Source organism: Homo sapiens, chromosome 1 (assembly GCF_000001405.40).
Source record: "Homo sapiens chromosome 1, GRCh38.p14 Primary Assembly".
Classification (NCBI taxonomy): domain Eukaryota; kingdom Metazoa; phylum Chordata; class Mammalia; order Primates; family Hominidae; genus Homo; species Homo sapiens.
This window is the reverse complement of record NC_000001.11, coordinates 18,223,799-18,244,495: the sequence shown is the minus strand read 5'-3', so window position 1 is coordinate 18,244,495 and position 20,697 is coordinate 18,223,799. Positions and strand designations below refer to the sequence as shown.

Below are 20,697 nucleotides of genomic sequence, written 5' to 3'. Positions count from 1 at the left end.
GGTGACTGGGTTGCCTTTCCTTCACGAGCTTTCAGACACAGAGAAAGGCCCACCCAGCATCACCTGCAACAACCCCTTAAACCGTGATTCCTGTCCTGCCCATCACAGCCCAACACCTAGGTGGGATCAAGGCCCATGGTCCATGCTGGAAAGGGAGAGGGAGGTGAATTCCAAAGTCAGCTCTTTTCATCTGGCAGGCTAGGGCTCCGTCCCTCTTTCTACCATTGCCCAGAGTTGTAGCTTAAGAAATCTCCCGACCGGGGGCAATGCATGGAGCGCTGCCCTTGAATCTGTCCCATGGTCTATGTGCACAGAGAAGTAGAGCACCATCCTGAGAAACGACATTTGCAAAGCGCTTCCAGAATGCTGCATTGGCAAAAGTGTCATTTGTCGTCCAAATCAGGCACTTTTGAGGCTGAACAAGGGTTGCTCTTAACAGTCACCCTCAGATAACAAGCGCCATCTGGACTGTTCCAGGCATGCTTGGTTGCATGGTTGCTGTCATGGCCCTCCACGAGGTCAGTGCTATTATCACCATCCCATTTTATAGACACAGATATGGAGAATGGGGGAGGTGACAGAGGAAGAGGTGGAGGCAGGAGTTGCTCTTGGATCTTTCTGTCTCTAGAGGCACCTTGGCAAAGCAGCATCTTCACTGCTGGTCCATATGCTCGCTCCTCAGGGTTCATGCTGCTCATCTTTGAAATCCCAGCAGCACCCAACACAAGGGCCTGCACATCGTGGATCTGGAGGTGTGGGCTGGCTCCTGTTTACAGAACCCAAATGAGGCTGGTGTGGTGGGAGGTAGTGGAGTGGGCGAGGCCAGAAAGGGGCAGTGCCAGACCGGGTGGTGCCTCCCGGGTTTTATTGTTAAGTATCAGGCAAAACTGAGGAATGATAAGACTGTTCTGATTTCAAAAGGTCACTCTGGCTGCTTGGTGGATACTGGATTTGGGGGCTGAGGGGACAAGAGTGGAAGCAGAGAGTGTGATCAGGAGGGTGCTGACTTGAAGTAGTGATAGAGGCTTCAGCTGGCTTGGAGGCCCAGGAATGGGGAAGAAGCAGTGGATTCAGGGCTTGTCTTTTAGAACGGATTCGATGGAAGAGATGCGGGGAGTGGGCAGGGGCAAGGGATGAGATGTGATAGGAGAGACGCCCTAGATTTTTCGCTTCGGAAACTGGTGGATGGTGATGCCGTTCGCTGAGGTGGAGAAGACTAAGGGAGGGGTAGGTTTAGGGAAGAAATGCAGAGCTTTGCTTTGGCCATGTTAAGTCTGAGATGCTTATCAGACATCTCTAGGGAGGGGTCCAGAGCTTCCTAAAATCGAATGATGATGCTTTTGTGTTTAAAATTTCTTGACTGTTCCCCTTGGATATAGCTCAAGCTCCATTGCAGGGCACCCCAGACTTGGCATAGGTCCCTGATTGCCCTCAGCCTCCTCCTCCTGCCTCCCCTCTTCCTGACCCTTCACTGAGCGCCTGATGGGAGTCAGATGGGCCACCCCCAGGCCTTTGCACCTGCTCTCACCTCTACTTGCCATGCCCACTGTCCCTTCCTCACTCTTGAATAGCTCCAGACAAGGGTGCGGGTCACATGACACCTGTCCCCCCCAGCAGAGTGTGAGCCAGGGATGGCATCTCTAGGCTGCAGCCAAGGCCCTGCCAAGGTTTTCTGCAGGTGTTAGTTCTCTACCTGGAGGGATGAAGGGATGAACGAATAAACTGGAGACTTCCCTAAATTAGAGCCTGCGATTTCAGACAGGCTTCACTTCTCTGTCTCCAAAGAACAGGCTTTGCATGACTTGATATTCATAGAGTAAAGAGGGTTGAAGGGGAACGTTGAAAGCACGTAAGGAAATAAACAGCCTTCTTACACCCTCAATTATTTTAGAAGCACCTGCTCCCATATAATTAATGTGCCAATTGAAATGACTATTATAGCCATTACAGCAGGTCCCCCAAGAACCACTACTTGACAATACTTGTTTAGACTCATTTGAGTTACTCTACCACTTTGCAAAATAATAAAATAATAATAATACAACTTCCTTTCTTGAAGAATGGTATCCAATTCAGAAGCCATCCCTCTCATTAATGGGATTCCTGAGGTCTGTGTGCCATGACTGGAAGCAGCCTCAGCCGTGGACGGTTTTGCTAGACATTTTCCACCATTCACCAAAAGAGAGTCCAGCTTGGGAGGGGCATGCAGGGAGGCAGCGTGGGGGAGAAGGGGCCCTTCCTTACACCTGTCTGCTCTGCCGTGCTGAGAGTAGGTGAACCATGCTGCCTGTGTCATCTCAGAGTAGGTGAACCGTGCTGCCTGTGTCATCTCTGCAGGGTGGAAGCTGTTTTCCCTCAAGTCCTCATTTGACGTTGACAGCCTCTGTGTGGATCTGTGCCGCAGCACTACTGCAGACAGATGGCTCCGGCAGGGTGATGATGAGGACAGCCTGAAGCAGCCATGTCCAGAAGCTCCTCTGCCCCCAGGCCATCTCCATCTCTCCCCCACGGAGGAGGCCACAGAGCTTCCCAAAGGGGGATCCAGACCACTCCATCAGCTTAGAGTGAGAAGGCTGGGCTGCTCTAAGGGGACTCAGACAAACCCCTTCCGCCTTACCATATGCAAGACTTGGGGTCAGTTAGTTAACTTCTCTGAGCCTCAATGTCCCCAACCCTAAAATGGACAACTGTACCGGCATCTTGTGATTCCTGTATGGATTCAGTGAGGTGATCTTTGTAACATACCTAGCGCAGCACCTGACCTGAACGCACCGCTACAGCAGTGGCATTCATGATGATATGAGGGAGATGGGAGGAAGGCTTGTCTTACCTGCCACAGGCTCCCCAAGCCAGAGGGATTCAGCGCATTCGAGGGTCCAGTCCTCATACTGCCCATCGCTCAGGGGGAAATCCCTCCAACCCCTAACAGGGTATTTATGGCCTTCAATGGGACCTAACAGAAAGAGCTGAACTTTGTAGTCAGAGAGTTGGGTTTTGAAGTTTGACTCAACCACTATCTAGCAGCAGGACTTTGAGCAAGTTGCTTAACCTCACCTAACCTCAGTCTCCCTGACTCTAGTCCTTCTACCTCCTTCTCTCAAGGCTCTCTGAGGTCTCTGATATCCCCAGAATCTTCACTTATGGGTGCATACTGGGAGAGGAGCCTCGAGGGGCAGGCAGGGGCCAGACAATGCAAAGTCCTGTATGGCAACACCAGGGATATTTGTCTGTATCCTAAGAACCATGGAAAGGCATCACTGATGTGTTTAAAGCAGTGTGGCATGGACAGAGATGCTTTGTATAAGGCCATAAGTTGTGGAGTGGACTTCTGAACCCTATAAAATTCGTTCACATCCTCCCCCTCCTCTCAACTCCCAGGTGTCCCCTGGCCTCACCTTTGAATGTTCACTCAAGGGTGGGGCACTTTCTCTGGACATTTACAGCCACACATGTCTGCTTCTCAGAACAGTCACATAACCCTACTCCTGGGGAATCTGGAACTTTCTGATGCCTGATTTCCACAGAAGCCCCATACTCAACCCCAACTAGCCAGGTTGGCTGGACACTCTGCTTCTTACCCCTTGTCATGATATCATGGCTGCGCAGCTGAGCTTGAGGCAGCACAGAATTCCAGAGCTGAAACAAATAGGGTCAATAGCTCTGGGTGCACTGGGCCCAGGATTACTTCCTACTGCAGTTTTGACAGGTGGCCATGCCATTTGCTTAGACATTTCCAGGGTTAGGAAGTCCACCAGTCCTTAAGACAGCCCATCCATGGTTGAAAAGCTCCAACTGTGGGAAAGTTATTAACCTCATCAACTACAAGTTTACCTCTGTGACCCTCAGGGCCACATAAGATATCCATCCATGCATACATCTATCCATCCATCCAACCATCCATCCTCTAAGCTATGTGCTCAGCATCATGCTAGACACTCAGGAGAGAAAGACAAACAGGACACCTGGTCACTGCCAGCAAAGGGTTTGCATTCTGGGAGAGAGACATTCAACTATTACAGTTCATCTCCTACTATGAGCTCTCAGCAAGCAGACACCTGTCTTTCTCTGTCAAAGCGGTGACCACAATTTGAAAGAAGCATTTATTTGACAGTCTTTCATGTAATACCTGTTTCCTCCCGCTTAACTACAAGCTCCACAAAAGACAGGGCTACCTTGTTTTGCGTATTTGTTTTGGGTTTCTTTGTTTTTGTTTTTGAGACAGGGTCTCTTTCTGTCCTCCAGGCTGGAGTGCAGCGGTGCAATCACAGCTCACTGCAGCTTTGACCTCCTGGGCTCAATCCATCCTCCCACCTCAGCCTCTTGAGTAGCTGGGACTACAGGTGTAAGCACCACCATGCCTGGTTAATTTTTCTGTGTTTTTATAGAGATGGGGTTTTGTCAGGTTGCCCAGGATGTTCTTGAACTTCTGGGGTCAAGCGATCTATCCTTCTCAGCTTTCCAAAGTGCTGGGATTACAGGCATGAGCCACAGCCTGTGTGTGCCCAGCCCATTGTTCTTATTCTGTGCTCTATTCCCAAGGCTTGGCACTAGTTGGTACTCAAGAAATATCTGCTGCAAAAATGAACACATGAGTCCAGTGTGTTGAGTCATATGGTCACGTGCTTAGTATTTTGAGAGTGTTATGAGAAGCTAACTCAGCCTGGGTCATGGCAGTTGAATGTGGAAGAAGATTGAAGGGGGAAAAATGGATGGGGAAAAGCCTCTGGTGGCGGGGAGGGGGGGCAACACTGAAGCTGGGCCTTGGAGGGCAAGTAGGAGTTGACCAGATGGAGGGGAGAAGGGCATTGCACGCAGAGACAGCACATATGCACCAGCTCGGAGGTGGGAAAGAACGTTGGCACATTCTGAGAACTGCAAATCAGCCATATGATTCGAATGGTGGGCCCATTTGGGAACGTGGTAGGAAGCAAGGCTGAAGAAATCAGTCAACAGAGGTTGAATCAAGAAGAACCTTGTATGCTGGGCCAATGACCTTGAACTTGGTCTTTCAGGTGATGAGAAGCTCTTGCGAAGTGTGGGGCAGGGAGGGGTGGTCGTGGTAAGGTCAGATATGTGTTTTAGAAAAGCACACGGCTGTGCCTGTCTGCAACGGGAAGACTGCCTGCCCTGTGGGAGCTCACACCCAACAAGGAAAATGTGGGGAGAGGAGGGGAGAAAGGATTTAGGAGGGATGGTGAGTCTGAGCTGGGAAACATCCCTCATTTCAGTCATGTTCTTTTCTTTTCACTGGTGTGCTGGAGCTGAAGTTCACCTTTAATCCTTTTCCGACAAGTTAAGTCAGCCCCTTTGTCATTTAAACCCAACAGGGCATAGGAAAGCCAGGAAGAATCTGCTGGAAATCACACTTTGGGCTTAATATACTTCCGGATTCCATGTGCTCGGAGGCCCCAACAGTAGTAGCTCAGGCCAGGACTCTCACCCCTGAGAAAGCATTGTTCAAGCCTCAGCTGGGGGGTGCCCTGACCTGGGAGGCACCCACCTCTTCCATTAGCTCTGAGTCTTCTGGGGAAAAGATAGCGGGGTGGGGAGGTTGACCGCAAGGTGGGAGAGAGGCTGCATATTCCTTAGAGACCATCTCACTGCACGCTTTTATTTTACCTATGAAGATCCTGGAGCTCAGAGAGGGGTTGTGGTTTTTTCAAGATCACACAGCAGGATGGTGTGTCCCAGGCCCTTGCTCTTTTCTTTTCTTGGTAAGTGAAGTGAGCTGAGCCATCAGTGTGTTATCCTTAGATATGCCGTGTCTTTCTCACCCATGCAGTGTGGGAGCCCATCACTGGTGGACTCTGCATGTGGTCTAACAAAACACCTGGTTATTTGGGTGTCCACTTCAGCTGTTGGCACCCCCTCTCAAGAGTTTGGAAGCCAAGAGCTCTTATCAACCCCATGTGGACCAGGGAAGTGGTCTCCTTGCCATTATCAGAAACTGATCTTAATCCCCAAGAGAAGATGGATTTGCTTGGTCAAAAACCGCTCCCCTTCAAGCCAGGGAGAACAGTGATGTGTGGCCAAAGCCAGTCTTCCCCCACCACCCTGCTTCTTATCTCCTCTTCCCGTCCAAGGGCATCTGTGCACAAATCCAGGCTGACTGAGCTGTGGTGTCTGGACGGATCCCAATCACACAGCAGCTCTTCCTGCCTAAGGTTGACTGCCTCACCTCTCACCCCCATTCCCCACTGCACTCCTTGGAAGCTCGTGGACCACTCATGGGCCATCTGGCACAACCTCGCAGCTACAGGGTCTGGTAGAGCCAACCTAAATATGGACCTTGATGACCCAAGAGTGGAGATAATGAGATGCCCTACACATTTCACACTCAGCGAACACCTGCATGCCTGCTGTTGCATTTCCTGGGTTTTTCAGTTGGGGCATGGGGGCATCACAGAGTCCTTTGAGAATATTCTGCACCTTTCTCCCACAAAAACACACACAACATATTAGGCATATTTTCTGGGGTTTGAGCACCCCCAGAAGCCCATCCACATATTTCCTAGGGACCCTGAGGCCCCCACATAGAATCCCTGGCCCAAGGATCATTCATAAATGAAGGGCTAGAGCGGGATCTTTCTTTCAAATACCAAATATATTGTTTAATTACATTGGAATCCCCTAAACTCTCTGGGAAGCCACTTTCACATTTTCAAGGAGGAGTGCAAGGCTGCTACCAGTTCCAGATTGAAAGGCTAAAGACAATGGACTTGTAATTTTATGAATGACACATAGGAGAAGCGGAAAAATAAAACTCCGCAAGAGATGCAAAGATGAATAACTAAGCTACCAGGTGCTGTCTCTCTAATTGAAGAATGTACAAAACGCTGAGAGAACACAGCAGGTGATCTCTTAATTCTGCTTTGGTGAGAGGGGTCAGAAGGCTTCACAGAGGAGAGAATGAGTAAGATTTGCCCAGGCGGAAAAGAGAAGATGAAGTAATATATGTGAAGCCTATTTCCCCTGCGCCACGGGGGACAGAAGCAGCTCGTCTGTGGGGCTTTTCGTCTGTTTTGCACAAATCTTTGTGAGATCCTTAGGGAAAGTGCAGTCAAGCCCATTGGCCAGGTGATGAAACAGAACTTAACAACTTGATGATGGGCAACTGGACGGGAAGCGCTCCCCTCGAGGGGAGTGGGCCCACCTGTCCTTCTTTATACCTTCAGACCTGTGTACAGTGCCTAGGAAGTTTTGGGAATAGTTGTCATCCAAGGCCACTGAGTTAATTAAATGGTAGAGCAGGATTTTTCTTTCAAATACCAAATGCATTTTTTAATTACACTAGAATCCCCTAAACGCTCTCGGCTGCCACTTTCACATTCTCGATGAGGAGAGCGAGGCTGCCACCAGTCCCAGATTGAAAGGCTAAGGATGGTAGGAAAAGACAGTGGGCTTGTAATTTTATGAATGACATGCAAATAGGAGTGGATTCAATAGAAGCAATTGGGTCTTCATGTTACTTGCAAAGGTTTGTTCAGATGTTCAAGCTCAAAACTCTTTACTAGACAAAATCTCAAGGCCATGTTACTGCTGATCTCAATGCACCCCTCAGCCCACTCTAGCTAGGCATTAGCCCCCACGACCTCCAAGGAATCTGCCCTTGCCCAGGTCCCCAGTGGGCTCCATATGTTACCAAGTTCATGGTCATTTCTCTGCTCTCAAGTCACTCACTGGAGTGTGAGACACAGCTAGCTGACAGCTGACTCTACTATTTCTGAAACCACTTTCTTTTCTTGGAATCCAGGACACTCCACTCCTCACCGTCTTCACATCTTGCTGGCTGTTCCTCCTCCTTCTCAGCCTCTCTGTTGGTCTACTTTTCTATCTCTAAATATTGGAGTGCCCAAGGGTCTAGCACTGGGTACCATCCATTCTCTGACAATGCCAAGTATAAGTCTCCAGGCTTCACCTCTCCCCAACATTCCAGATTTGTGGCCTCAATAGCGGCTGCAGCAGCTCCATCTCCATGTCTTAGAGGCACTCCCAGCTTAACATAGCCAACAGAGAGTGCTTGACGCCTGTCCCTGTGTAATAGTCTGTTCTTACACTGCTAATAAAGACAAACCTGGGACTGGGTAATTTATAAAAGGACAGTTTAATGAACTCACAGTTCCACATGGCTGAGGAGGCCTCACAGTCATGGTGGAAGGCAAATGAGAATCAAAGTCACATCTTACATGGTGGCAGGCAAGAGGATCTTGTGCAGGGGAACTCCCATTTATAAAACCATCAGATCTCATGAGACTTATTCACTACCAGGAGAACAGTATGGGGGAAGCTGCCCCCATGATTCAATTATCTCCACCTGGCCCCACCCTTGACACATGGAAATTATTACAATTCAAACTGAGATTTGGGTGGGGACATAGCCAAACCATATCACCTTGCAACCTGCTTCTCCTGTCCTGTCCTCCCTGTCTCATTAAATAGCACTGCTCCTGCAAACCCAGCCGAAGCCCCAAAGCAGGGAGTCATCCTGAATCCCCCCTTCTCTCATCCCTTCCACATGTTAGCAAGCCCTTAACTTCTACCTGCAAATCATAAGCAGAACATTTTTCCCTTCCATCATCTCCACTACCACCATCCTGGTAGTCAACCAAACCACTGTTGCCTCTTGCCTGAACTATTCTAACCTCCAAGTGACCCCTCTGCTGCCAGTTTCTCACCTCCTCTGCAAACCATTCTCCACCCAGAAGTGACCTTTTTAATAAAGTAAACCAGACCCTGTTACTTCTCTGCTTAAACTCAATGCTTCCTGGTGCCCTTAGAATAACTCCAGATTCAGTTTCTTACAGCACAGGGCCTGGTATGAACGGTCTCTGCCCATTTTTCCAACATCACCCCCTATTCGTTTTGTTCCAGCCACATGCACTTTCTGTTATTTGAACACACAAAGCTTTTTCCCACAGAACTGTCTTGCATTTGCTTTCCCCTCTGCCTGGATTATTCTGCCTTCTTCCCTTGGCATGGTAGGTTTCCTGTTGCCTTTGCGATCTCAGCTTAAATGTCTTTTCCTGACCACACAATCTCTTTCTATCCCACCACTCGATTTTAATTATATGCACTGCGCTTATCATTAGCTGGTATCTTCCTTATTTGTTTATCTTTTTAACTCCTCCCCCATGGTAAACTGTGTGAGCACAGGATCTTGTCTTCTTCCTTGATGAAATCCCAGTGCCTAGAACCATCCTGGTTTCATAAATATGTGTTGAATTAATGTTGGATGAGTGCATGGAACAGCTCCCTCTATCAGAGTTTCACAAACGCCATGACATGCTCCGTGGCTGGGTTGAGTGCGTCACTGTCATCTGGGGAACTCGTTAAAAGTACAAATGCCCTGAGGCTCCAGTCCTGGAAATTCAGATTCAATAACTGTAGAATGAGTCTCAGACAACAGTGTATTTTTAGTGGCCTCTGAGAAGTCTAATGAGCTGTCAGAGTCAGGTACCCCTGCCGGTTTCCAATAGAACTTCCATTAAAGATCAAGGATCAGGGCTGCAATGATTGTGATTCACACTCTGGCCTCTAGAGGGAGCTGAAGGTTTCTCCCATCACCCCATCCCCAGGAGGAGGAGCTCAGTGTGATGAGTCTGGATGGTTACAACTTAACAGCTGTGGTTAGGGGTGGAGTTTTCCTTGGGGTTGAATTAAAGGATTGTGATATGGTTTGGCTGTGCCCCCACCCAAATCTCGTCTTGAACTGTGGTTCCCAAGTTCGTGAAAGGGACTCGGTGGGAGGTGATTGGATCATGGAGATGGTTTTCCCCATGCTGTTCTCATGATAGTGAGTTCTCACAAGACATGATGGTTTTATAAGCACCTGGCATTTCCCCTGCTGGCACTTCTCCCTGCCACCATGTGAAGAAGGACGTGTTCGCTTCCCCTTCCACCATGATTGTAAGTTTCCTGAGGCCTCCCCAGCCCTGCAGAATTGTGAGTTAATTAAACCTCTTTCCTTTATAAATTACCCAGTATTAAGCAGTTCTTTATAGCAGCATAAGAACAGACGAATACAGATTACAATGGAAGTAGACCTGGGAACTTGTTCTTATTTCCTGTTTATGTGTTATTACATTTGTTGTAAAATCAACTATTGTTTGGTGGGCCCTCTCTGGCTGCCTTCTCTTCCTTCCCATGTGACTGATATGATAAGACTGAGCACTGGACATACCTCATCAGGGAGAACCTGGCTCTTTGGAAGGCCAGGGGTTGGGGAAGGAGGCCTAGACAAGGCAAGTTGGGTTGGCTCAACCCTGGCTTTTGTCTTCCTCACTCACATCCTTTTCCAGACTTATATCTGTAAGATCTGAACTCAAGATCAGAATGTGGGGTCAGAGGAGTAGCAAAGAGCAGCCAGGATGAGTGGCTGCCAAGCAAGAAGGGCCAAAGGGGTTGTCTAGACCCATCCTCTGGGACCTTGGTGCTGGTCTCTCTTGGTCACCCGAGAGTGTACCTACCTTCTTGCCCTTATGATATGGTTGGACTGTATTGTTTCCTGTCTCCTTAGGATCATCATTTTCAGTTTTGCTTCAAATAATGAAACATTGTGAAGGGCTGGGACTGAGAGAGAGCCAATGATAGTAAAGCCATTTTGAAATAGCTCCCTGTTTCAGGGAGAGCTAAAATCCATTGAAATGGCTTAACTGTGTTAAGCCACTGGGTTTCCAAGAATTGAAACCCAGTGAGTTCACCAGCATAACCATTTAAAGCGTTGTCTCTGCCCATATCCCTTGGGAATGCAGGTGGTAGGATGGAATTCAAGGAATCTAACCGTGGTGATCCTCCCCAAATACCTTCCCCTCTTATTCTATAATTTCCCTCTCTAGATCCTGTAAGCTATCAACAGACATGAAATGACAATAGCTATCATTGAATAGGTGCCACAATGAGCTGAACAATGGGGTCTTTTGGTTGCAGACATTATCTCATTTAAGCTTACAAAATACATGTTTTCATGCCCAATTTCAGGTGAAGTTTCTAAAAGGCTGAAAGGTTAGGTCACCACCCAAGGTCAAACTCACACACAGGTATTCTGATGCTCAAGTCCTCTCTCTTCCTACCTCAGCCTTCCCAGCCTCTAGTCTCAATTCCTTTTCAAATGGTCCCAAGCAACCACAAACCCTCATTGCAGAGGCATCCAGCAGAACCCAGAGGGGACGATCACCTGGCGAGGTCGCATCATCTGCACCACAAAACACACACCCAGGTATGCATCTTCCCACATGGTGAAAAAGGTGAGATAAAGGGGTACTGAAAGCAGGGATGTTATCACTGTTTGTAGATCTCCTTCTCTCTCTATCTGGCTCTCTTTTCTGTGGCCTTGTAACCTGGGCCCAGAGTGGCTCCTGGGAACAAATTGTAAAAGAAGGAGAGAAAACAAAGGAGGGATGATAAAAACTGCTGTAAAAGGTTAAACTCCCATGATTCTCTGTGGCTGTTTAATGGAGTTCCATGATATAAACAGACCTTCGGCTTTGCCTGCTGGGCAGGCGGCCTCCAACCAAATGAGTTCAGACAGTGTTTCCTAATAAGAAATGTTCCCTTTTCCTTCATACTTAACAAAGCCCCCTGAGTATCCAAAGACCCACACTCCCCACCCCCTGACCAACAGATACTATCAACATTACACAGATGCCCACATGAGACAGAAGTGGGCTACATAGCATGGTCTGTCAACAGGTGCACATTATAGCTCCATGATTTGTTAATTTAGCAAATGTTCACTGAGGTGACTCTGCTCTAGGTGTCAAGAATACAGCAGGAGAAAAGACAGTCTTTGCTCTTCAGATAGTCATGGTCCAGGGGCAGGTATTTTGACATGATGAGGTAAGCACTAGTGTAAAGACCCACACAGAGGATTCATGGAGGAGGGTGTGCCTACAGCTTTCTGGAGAAGTCAGGGAAGGCAACATGACCCGAGACACAGTCTCTTCGAATGGCCTCAGTTTCTTCATCTGGAAAATAGAATTAATCATAGTATCTACCTTTCAGTGAAAATATGAAAATGAAATGTCATCACGTATGTAAAGCACTTGATCTAGTGCTCACACATAGTAAAGGCTCAATAATGTCAGCCACTCAAATTAGTATAAGCAGCATTAATAAATAAGTCCCCAGTTACAGATGTAAATAGGAATGATTAAGTAAAGAACATTATTTATTATTCATTTTCTTGAACCAAGTCCCAACTTAAGTGCTAGGGTAGATTAGTTATTAGCTGACAGCCTCCTACTGGTGAAATATGGAATTGCACCCCTACTCTATTAGCCAAAAAAAAGCTGTCTGGAGCTTATCTATATGAGCTGTGAAGATGAAGCCTGGACACTCAAATCTGGGAGATGAACCCATGTAACAGTGGAGAAAGCAGAGGGGGATGGTGAAAAGCATCCTCAAGTTGGACAGGGCTTTAATAGACAACTACGATACTCAGCACCTTAGAGGGATGACAACTCTCTTGACATCTTTATGTTTTCAAAGAAGTGATTTGAGCATGATGACCATCTCCCTTTTTTCACCCTCCCTCACCACACACACACACACACACACACACACACACACACACACGATCTAATGATGTCAGGTTACCAAATGAGATCCATCTTACTAAAATTCATTTCAGGGCAAGTTTGCCTGGAAAACTGACTCAATGATCACTCACTGCTATTCTCTTGTCAGGTGAGCACAGTGTATTCCAGAGGCTGCAAAAGAAAATCTCAATGTTCTACAGCAGGTTATCCAGTGAAACTTCCTGCAGTGATGGGAACGTGCTATACTTCATCTGTCCAATATGGAGGCCACCAGCTATAGGTGGCTAGTGAGCACTTGAAATGTGGCTAGTCTGACTGAGGAAATGAATTTTAAAATTAATTTGATTTAATTTAAATGTTAACATCCACGTGTGACTGGTGGCTACCATATTGGACAACCCAGACCAAGGGGCTATGATTACACATACTTCCTTGAGTCTATTCTCATAGTTTTGGCATCTTATTCTACAAACGGGCTGAGCTCCTCCCCACTTGGCCAGACCATGGGGGTAAAGTGTCCAAGAGTCAGGCTCTTGCCGCTTCCTCCCAATTTCCTTCCCCTCCCTTGAGGGGTCCACAAGCAAGACCTTCCCAAATATCCAGCCAGAGGTTTTGTTAGCTCCAAGGTTAGGTGATCCCTATGGCTTCAGATAATTTCATCAGCTGCCCTGATTTACCCAAAGAATCCAATGCATTCATGATGTTTTCTGACAGCTCAGGATGATCCCTTTGCTAAGATAATGTATTTAGGACCAGAGGGGAGGCTGCTGGGCTTGACACATGTTTTGGGCCATTTTGTGCCCACTGTGCTGAGCAGGCAGTGGCGGCCTCATCACAATGCCCTGCTTCTTCCTTCTAACGGGGTTGGAGCCACAGTCCTGACTGGGCCTGTGTAATCTATTCATTTCCTTCCAAGCCGGGCTCTGTAAGCTCATTCACGGAGGATGGAGAAAGGAAGCTGGGACGGGAAGCAAACACACGTACAGAAAACAAACAGCACTCGGCAGCTCCCTGCTTGGAGGAGGGGGGCAGGCTGCGGGGAGAGGGAGATGGGGAAGGAAGCCACAGTGGGGGGTTCGTCTGGCAGGGGAGGAAGGGGTCAGAGGAGGGTCTGGCTGGAGAAGGAGACTGGAGCTCCTGTTGCTGCTGCTCCCATTCCCTCTGGAAGCCCTGCCCTGACCTTGACTCCTGGAGCCCCCATCTTGGTAGGCTCTTATCTCTCTCCCTTCAGCTGCCTCTTTGGGAAGAGAGACAATCACTAGAGAAAGCTAGAGTGGCAGAAAGCAAAAACTGGCCACACGGAGCCCTTCCCTGGAATTTCCTTCCTTCCTCTGCCCCCATCCTTCCCATCATAGGCGGGCACGTGGGCTCCCTGAGACCTGAGGACAGTAACCAGTCAGCTGAGCCACCACCTCCGTCCAGCTACAGAATTACAAGGGCCCAGGCATTTGGCTCTAGTGGGTGATTTGCATGTGATTTGCATACATCTGCATATGCCTGCTCCAGAGGCCCTCAGTCAAAGGATGTGAAATGAAATAAAATAAATTAATTAGTGCAGCCTACCATGGCCCGATATGCAGCGCCTGACAATGGTAAGAGATGCCACTGATTCTTAAAACTACCAGTGGCATCAAGGTTAGGCAGCAAGAGTGGGGGAGAGAGGAGGGTCTCCCTACCGGAGGATGGCGAAGAAAAAGGAGAGTCTCTGTCCAGCCCAGGACATGGATCCTCCTGCCCCAGTCCTGCTCACCATCTTCAAGAACATCAAGTCAAGCCATGTGGAAACCTGCTCCTGGCTTCTACACCTGGGCACAGCCTGGCACTAGCATTGCCCATAACTCCAGCAGGAGCCTCTGCAGGGAGATTTTCACCACTGTGACTATGGTAACATTCGATTTCAAACCGGAGGGAGGACAGTTGCTTCAAGAGCTTGGAAGGCAATGAGGTGCCCACTGCTATTTTCCCATCTCCAAACTTCCTTCCATTTCGCTCCATTAACTGTTCCCACTGGGTCTCCATATTTCTATCTGTCTTTCACCACCCCTCCCTCTGATCCCATCTATGGGATGGCTGAGGGAGAGATGTGGTCCCATCATCAGCAGTGAGCTGGAGTTAATTTATCCCTGTCCTTCTGCCAGGTGCTAATGAGATGCTCCCAGCCTGTGTCAGCCAAGCAGTTCCCATATCCTGTAAATACACCTCTTAGTGATTCAGTTCATGGCACTATTTAACATATGCCTTGACTTTCTCTAGGCCCACTGATCTATCCAGGATGGCACCCTTCCTTAAGGCTGGGACCCTCTAGGGTGCTGGATGTCAGGTTCACACCTGTGAAGCCCAGGCTACCTGAAGAGCTTGGGTGGAGGGCACTAGAATTAACTCTAAACAGGAGAGACTGCAATGCTGAAATAGAGAACTATGATTTTTGGTTAGAAGGAGTGCAGATCACAGCCAACAAAATAGCAACAACAAGCAAACCATGAATCAGAGACCGAAAATGCAAAGCAGAGCAGCCAAGACAGGCTGGTTCAAAGCTCACCTGGACCAAGAGCAAGAAGGAGACTGAAGAGAGCTGTTCTGAGTCAAGACTATGAACAGCACGCATGCCCCAGGGATTCCTCTAACACTGAGTTTCCATGCTCTGTGTGTAGATGTGGTGACAGCTCCAAGGAGCAGAGGAGCCAGCTCTAGATCTTGAATCACAGTTTGGTGCCCACCCCCCACCTTCCTTGCCCTCTCTTCCATGCTCCATCACTTCCTCCAGAACAGCTCCACCTAACTGTGCTATCCATCCGTTTCATTTGAAGAAAGGGCAACAAAGATTAGGAAAGCGTGGTTTCTGATCAGGGATTTGCAAACTATAGCCCATGAACCAAGTCATTCTATAGCCTGTTCTGTACAGCCAGCGAGCTAAGAACAGTTTTTACCTTTTTTAATCATTGAAAAAAAATAAAAAGAAGAAGAAATTATGACACATGAACCTTGTACAAAATTCAGACTTTGGTGCCCATGAGTAAAGTTTCATTGACACACAGCCATGCCCTTTCATTTACACACTGTCTGTGGCTGTTTTGATGCCATACCAGCAGAGTTGAGTAACTGTGACCAAGACTGAATGTTTGGCAGACAGGAGAATATTTACAATCTCAGTCGTCACCAAAAAATGTTGCCAACCCCTGTTTAGATGACAGAAGAGGAGTTCTCCCCCAGGATGGTGGTGCCTTTATCTGTGCACACTCAAGCATGCATTGGAAGAAAAGCATCACTGCCCCCTGGACCTTCTGAGCCCAGCCCCAATTCCTTTGTGGCAAAGGGATAGAAGACTGGGATGCCCCATCCAGACACAAGAAGATTTCACTCAGTGGTTGAAAAGGCCCCTTGTGCTCAAGATTCCAAGCTGTTCTTCCTGGTGCCAACACCTGGGCCCTGGGCAGGTGGGTACCTTCTCATCTCTAACCAATTCCCTTCTCAGATGGTGCCAGACACCAGGATTAGTCCTATACGTAGTCAGATTAGGTGGCAGACTATCTCTGTGATTTGATTTTGCAAAAGGCAGGAAGCCTTCCTGTTTTTCTCTCTCCCTTGCCAAAAACATTATCCGAAGCCTCATGCTCAAAATTCCACCATCAGATATCACTTGTGATTACACTGTGCCCAGGGTCCAGGGTGTTCTCAGTAACTTCTACTTTGCCTAATGGAGTTTTCCAAGCGTAGGGGCATAATAGGAGCACAAAGAAGGTGGAAACCAGATCAGTCCTGAGGGTAGAAGGGATGGCTAGTACCCAAGGAGGGTGTCAGCAGAGGGCGGGGACCCAGCAGATGCCCAGGACAACTCAGGACTGGGTCAGGGCTGAGGTCATAGCCACACCAGTGAGGGTGTCCAGAGGGCTCTGAGGACCTCACACCAGTCCTGGCCATGGGCATGAAGGGGGCAGTAGTAGTGACTTACCCGGTACCACACGATCTCCCGCATGCGCCCATCTGTCTTGAAGTTACACTTCAAAGTCACGGCGTCTCCAGCCACCACAGGGGGGAGAGGCTCAATGTTGACTGTCAGGTAGCCTACAGAAGAGAGGAGAAAGGGGTGGTAAGGGCACGAGCAGATCAGAGGGGCTGGGCTGATGAGGGCAGGGCCAGGGAGACAGCAGACAGAGGAGGGAAGTTTGGGGTCTGTAGTTGCACAACTTTGAGGGACGCTGTTCACACTGTGGTTTCTGTGAATGGTGACTGCAGGCCCAAATGGAGCCAATCACCCTCTTCTTCCCTCTCTTCAACATCTCCTTTTTGGCTGCCTCCCTGGCTCCAATGGATCCCTCCAAACCAAAAACACTTCTGCTTGGGACACATTTTTCCCTGAAGGTAGGACCTGCTGGCACCTCCAAGAACAGCCTCAATGTATTTCTATAAGATACCCCAGAGAAGGCTTCTGTGCCCCAACATCGCCCCTCCACCCCTTTTTAGAGTTGTGGCATTCATGATTCATCTATTCGGTCCTGCAGGAAATGAATGCCGAAATGTATTTACTTGGCATTTCCAAACCTATTTGAATATGGGTCGCTCAGCCACCCCTTAAGCCCCACCACCATCCTACGCAGCCAGGATCTGAGAAATACACACTGGGACATGGTGTTCTAAGTGCCCATACTCCTCCATTTCCAACCTCATAAACAAATGACTCCTGGTAAAAAGAGAGCCCTGGGAAACCACCATTGGCTTCCTTAACACCCTCCATTGGCTTTCCCACCACACATACTTTGCCACCTAAAGGGAGGGTCGGGTCCAAGCCTTGGCCATGGCAGTGGTGATATGTTAGAGAAGTCCATTATAGACCCACTATCTGGGGAGGAGTCTGAACTCATTGCAAACACCAGGTGATGCTTCCCGGACTACTACCAGCTGCCCCTGGGAGTGCCTGGAGCAGACGCTGGGACTCTTGCCCTGGTAGCCACACCTTGGGGACACTGCTCTCTCCACACCAAAGTCTAGTCTGGTGAGGCCTCTAACCCACTCCTCTGCCTCCACTAGCCCCATCCCAGAGGCCTGGACCTTCACCGCAGTTCCGAGGGGAACCTCATTCCTGGGCTGATCATCCAGGCTCATCTGATCGGCTTCCTGCCGGCTGATGTCCAGTCATTGATCTAATGGATCAATCCAGTCCGATAGTCTTAATGAGAAAACTAGCCAGGATGGGTTCGAAGATTTCAATTGTGCAGGCAAGCTGAATAGATGGAGCCCATGGGCCTGACCCCTGCCTGGAACTCAATGGTTACAACACTCCAGGAAAACAAAAAACAAAACAAAACAAGAATCGACCTGGAGAGGATCAATTTGGAAGTTGGAGTCAGAGCGGACCTGCACGGTCCAAGGCTTCAGGACCCAGCCTCCAGGGTGAGGGGCAAGGCAAGGAGCTCACTCCAGGGAGGCCTGTAACTTAGGCCAGAGGTCAAGCCCCTGGATAGCCCTGGAGCCCACTTGGTCTGACAAAGCCACAACCACAACCAACCGGTCCAACTTCCAAGATCAGAAGGACCAACCCGGATCCTCCTTTCCTCATTTACTCAACCCCAGTTCACTCCCACCTACCCTGTGCGGGCCTGGGGCCAGGATCTGGGAAGCAGAGACCCAGGCATTGCTCGGCCCTCCAGGAACAAGCAGTGAGGGTGAGACAGAGATGCCCAACACAGTCACCACTCAGGTGACCAGCCAGCCTCTAGGTAGGCGGACGGGGGCCTGTGGGTGGGCACAGAGGGAATCTGATCCAGCCTGGATGATCCCAGCCATGGGGCATGACAAACAAGGAGGCCACCTTCAGGAGGACAGACCCCACGGAAAGGGAGACCTCCGGGCAAGCCAAGCCTGAGTGTAACATTGTGATACTGGCTCACATGTGCACACCTGCTTTGTGCCAGGCACTGGGCTAAGCACTTGATATGATATGCATCTACTCACTTAATCACCAGGACACTCCTAGGAGAGAGGAACTATTATGATTCCCACTTTCTGTGAGTGAACCAAGAGGTGAAGTCCCCTGCCAGATCACACAGCTGCAAGTTACAGAGCTGGAATTCAAACCCAAACCTTCGGGCTCCATGACAACCACCACGCTATTACAGCCTCTCGGAAGAGGTGAGAGAAAGTGGCAAACACTGTACATCTGCAGCCTGCATACTTTTTTCTTCCAGCCCTAAAGATGGAGGATGGGCATTGTGGCAGGAACTGTGATAGGAGTTGAGGACCTGACCCCATGGCCACAATTCTGAGCCACGTGGCTCAATCTTCCAGTGAGGCTGCCCTCCCCTGGGCTCTCTCTCACCTTTGCAGATATAGTTATGAGTTGAGCCTCATCAGTCCAGATGGCTGATGAGATCAAGGCTCATGAAGGTCCTCCTCCCACTGGAAAGAGGAGGGAAGGACATATTCTCAGATGCATAAATCTTTGAGCAGCCCGAGGTGGGTGCAGATGGTGTGTGCCTGTGAGGCAGGCAGGGCAGGATGGAGGGTCACCATTTGTTGGCAAGCCATGAGGGAATTGCAAGTGTAAGTGTGGCGGTGGCGGGGAGGGCAAGTAGGGGAGTGGTTGCAGCTCTGGTGATTGGGTGGTAGTGTTAGGAGCACTGGCAGGCGCAGCAGATGTCTGGGGCAGTAGAATTCACAGAGGCATGCCAGGGTGAGATCAGAGAGCCCACTGCATACGCACTCAGTCTTAGAGGTGAATCAGGAAGTGTGTGCAGGAGTGGGGTGGCTCTGACAGGTTAAGACAAGACAGCTTTTCCCAGAGTGTGCAGAGAATAGGGATCTTCTCACCAGTGTTTCAGGAAACATGATTTCTTTGTGTGTGTGTGTGTGTGTGTGTGTGTGTGTGTGTGTGTGTGTGAGAGAGAGAGAGAGAGAGAGAGATACAGAGTCTCACTCTGTCATCCAGGCTGGAGTGCAGTGGTGTGATCTTGGCTCACTGCAGCCTCCACCTACCGGGTTCAGGCAATTCTCCTGCCTCAGCCTCCTGAGTAGCTGGGATTACAGGTGCTTGCCACCATACCCAGCTAATTTTTGTATTTTTAGTAGAGATGGGGTTTCACCATGTCGGCCAGGGTGATCTCAAACTCCTGACCTCAAGTGATCCACCCGCCTGGGCCTCCCAAAGTGCTAGAATTACAGGCATGAGCCACCATGTCTGGCAGGAAAACATGATTTCCAACATCCATGAATTTTAAGAGATATTGGGTTAAGTATAATTAAACCCGTTCTTCCCTTCAGGACTTCTCTTAACTTTCTCTCCTTCCTTCTTCCTGTCTTTCCTTTATGCATGAAAAACAAATTAATTGAGAATCTATTCCGTACCAGGCACCGTTGTAGGCAATGGGGACATATCAGTAACAATAGACACGTCCCTGTCCTCATGGAGCTGCCAGTTTAGCAGAAGAGCCCATAATCAAATAAATGATGGAAAATATGTCCAGTGGTGATAAACATAATGAGGAAAAGCAAAGCAGAGTGAAGTGATAGAAGGCAATGGGGGAGGGGCTTCTTTAGCCAGAGGGGCCCTGGGAGGCCCTTCTGAGGAGGCTGGAATAAAGGAAGGTGTGAGCCATAGGGGTATTGAGGAGAGAGCATTCCAGGCAGAAGACATGTCAAGCGCAAAGGCCCTGAAGCTGGAGTGTGTGCTCACAGTGCCTTGTGACCCTCCAAGTTTGGGCCAGAGTGGGAAATTTTTCTTCATATTTTACACTCTGGAGCCCATCTTTTTCAGAGCATCTTGTAGAACCTGAGCCAGGAATGGGAGCGAATACAGTGAGACAAGCAAGGGGCCTGCAGTGCAAAATTAAAGGACACCGTCTCATTGCACCATCCTGAGAGTGAGTGGGTGCCTCTTTGAATGTTACCCCCTGTGCACCTGGCTAGCTTCACCCTAGTCTCAGCCCTGCTGGAGTCCTTGAAAACAAATGTCGGGAAACACCACTGTAAACCGAGGCAGGAGTGACTGTGTCTTCCATTCCAGGGATGGCCCTACTTGGAGTCATGGTAGCAGCCAGGAGGAGAAATGCTCGTAGCTGGGCACTCCCCTTCTCATCCCCGCAGGAAGCTGAGGGAGTGGGGTTTCCAGGCTGCAGAGACAGGTTTAGCTCTAAGGACTAAAACTCCTTGCCTGAGCATGTGTCACTTA

General features: G+C 49.1%; 1 protein-coding gene across 3 annotated transcripts in view, besides 1 other annotated feature; it reads right to left on the bottom strand.

The window, feature by feature from the left end:
- The window catches only part of IGSF21 (immunoglobin superfamily member 21), a 270,686-nt gene that overhangs the window by 133,988 nt on the left and 116,001 nt on the right, over positions 1 to 20,697 (bottom strand). For all 3 annotated transcript variants that reach the window (NM_032880.5, XM_011542319.4, XM_017002604.3), the window contains exon 2: positions 16,486 to 16,598. In NM_032880.5, the coding sequence (NP_116269.3) occupies positions 16,486 to 16,598 (113 nt within the window). The remainder of the gene's footprint in view (positions 1 to 16,485; positions 16,599 to 20,697) is intronic.
- Positions 12,851 to 13,499: an enhancer, noted in NCBI's record as "H3K27ac-H3K4me1 hESC enhancer chr1:18557491-18558139 (GRCh37/hg19 assembly coordinates)". NCBI's record gives its function as "activates a minimal SCP1, AML or CMV promoter by ChIP-STARR-seq in naive H9 embryonic stem cells {active_cell/tissue: H9 hESC(naive)}" and the evidence as "EXISTENCE:reporter gene assay evidence [ECO:0000049][PMID:30033119]".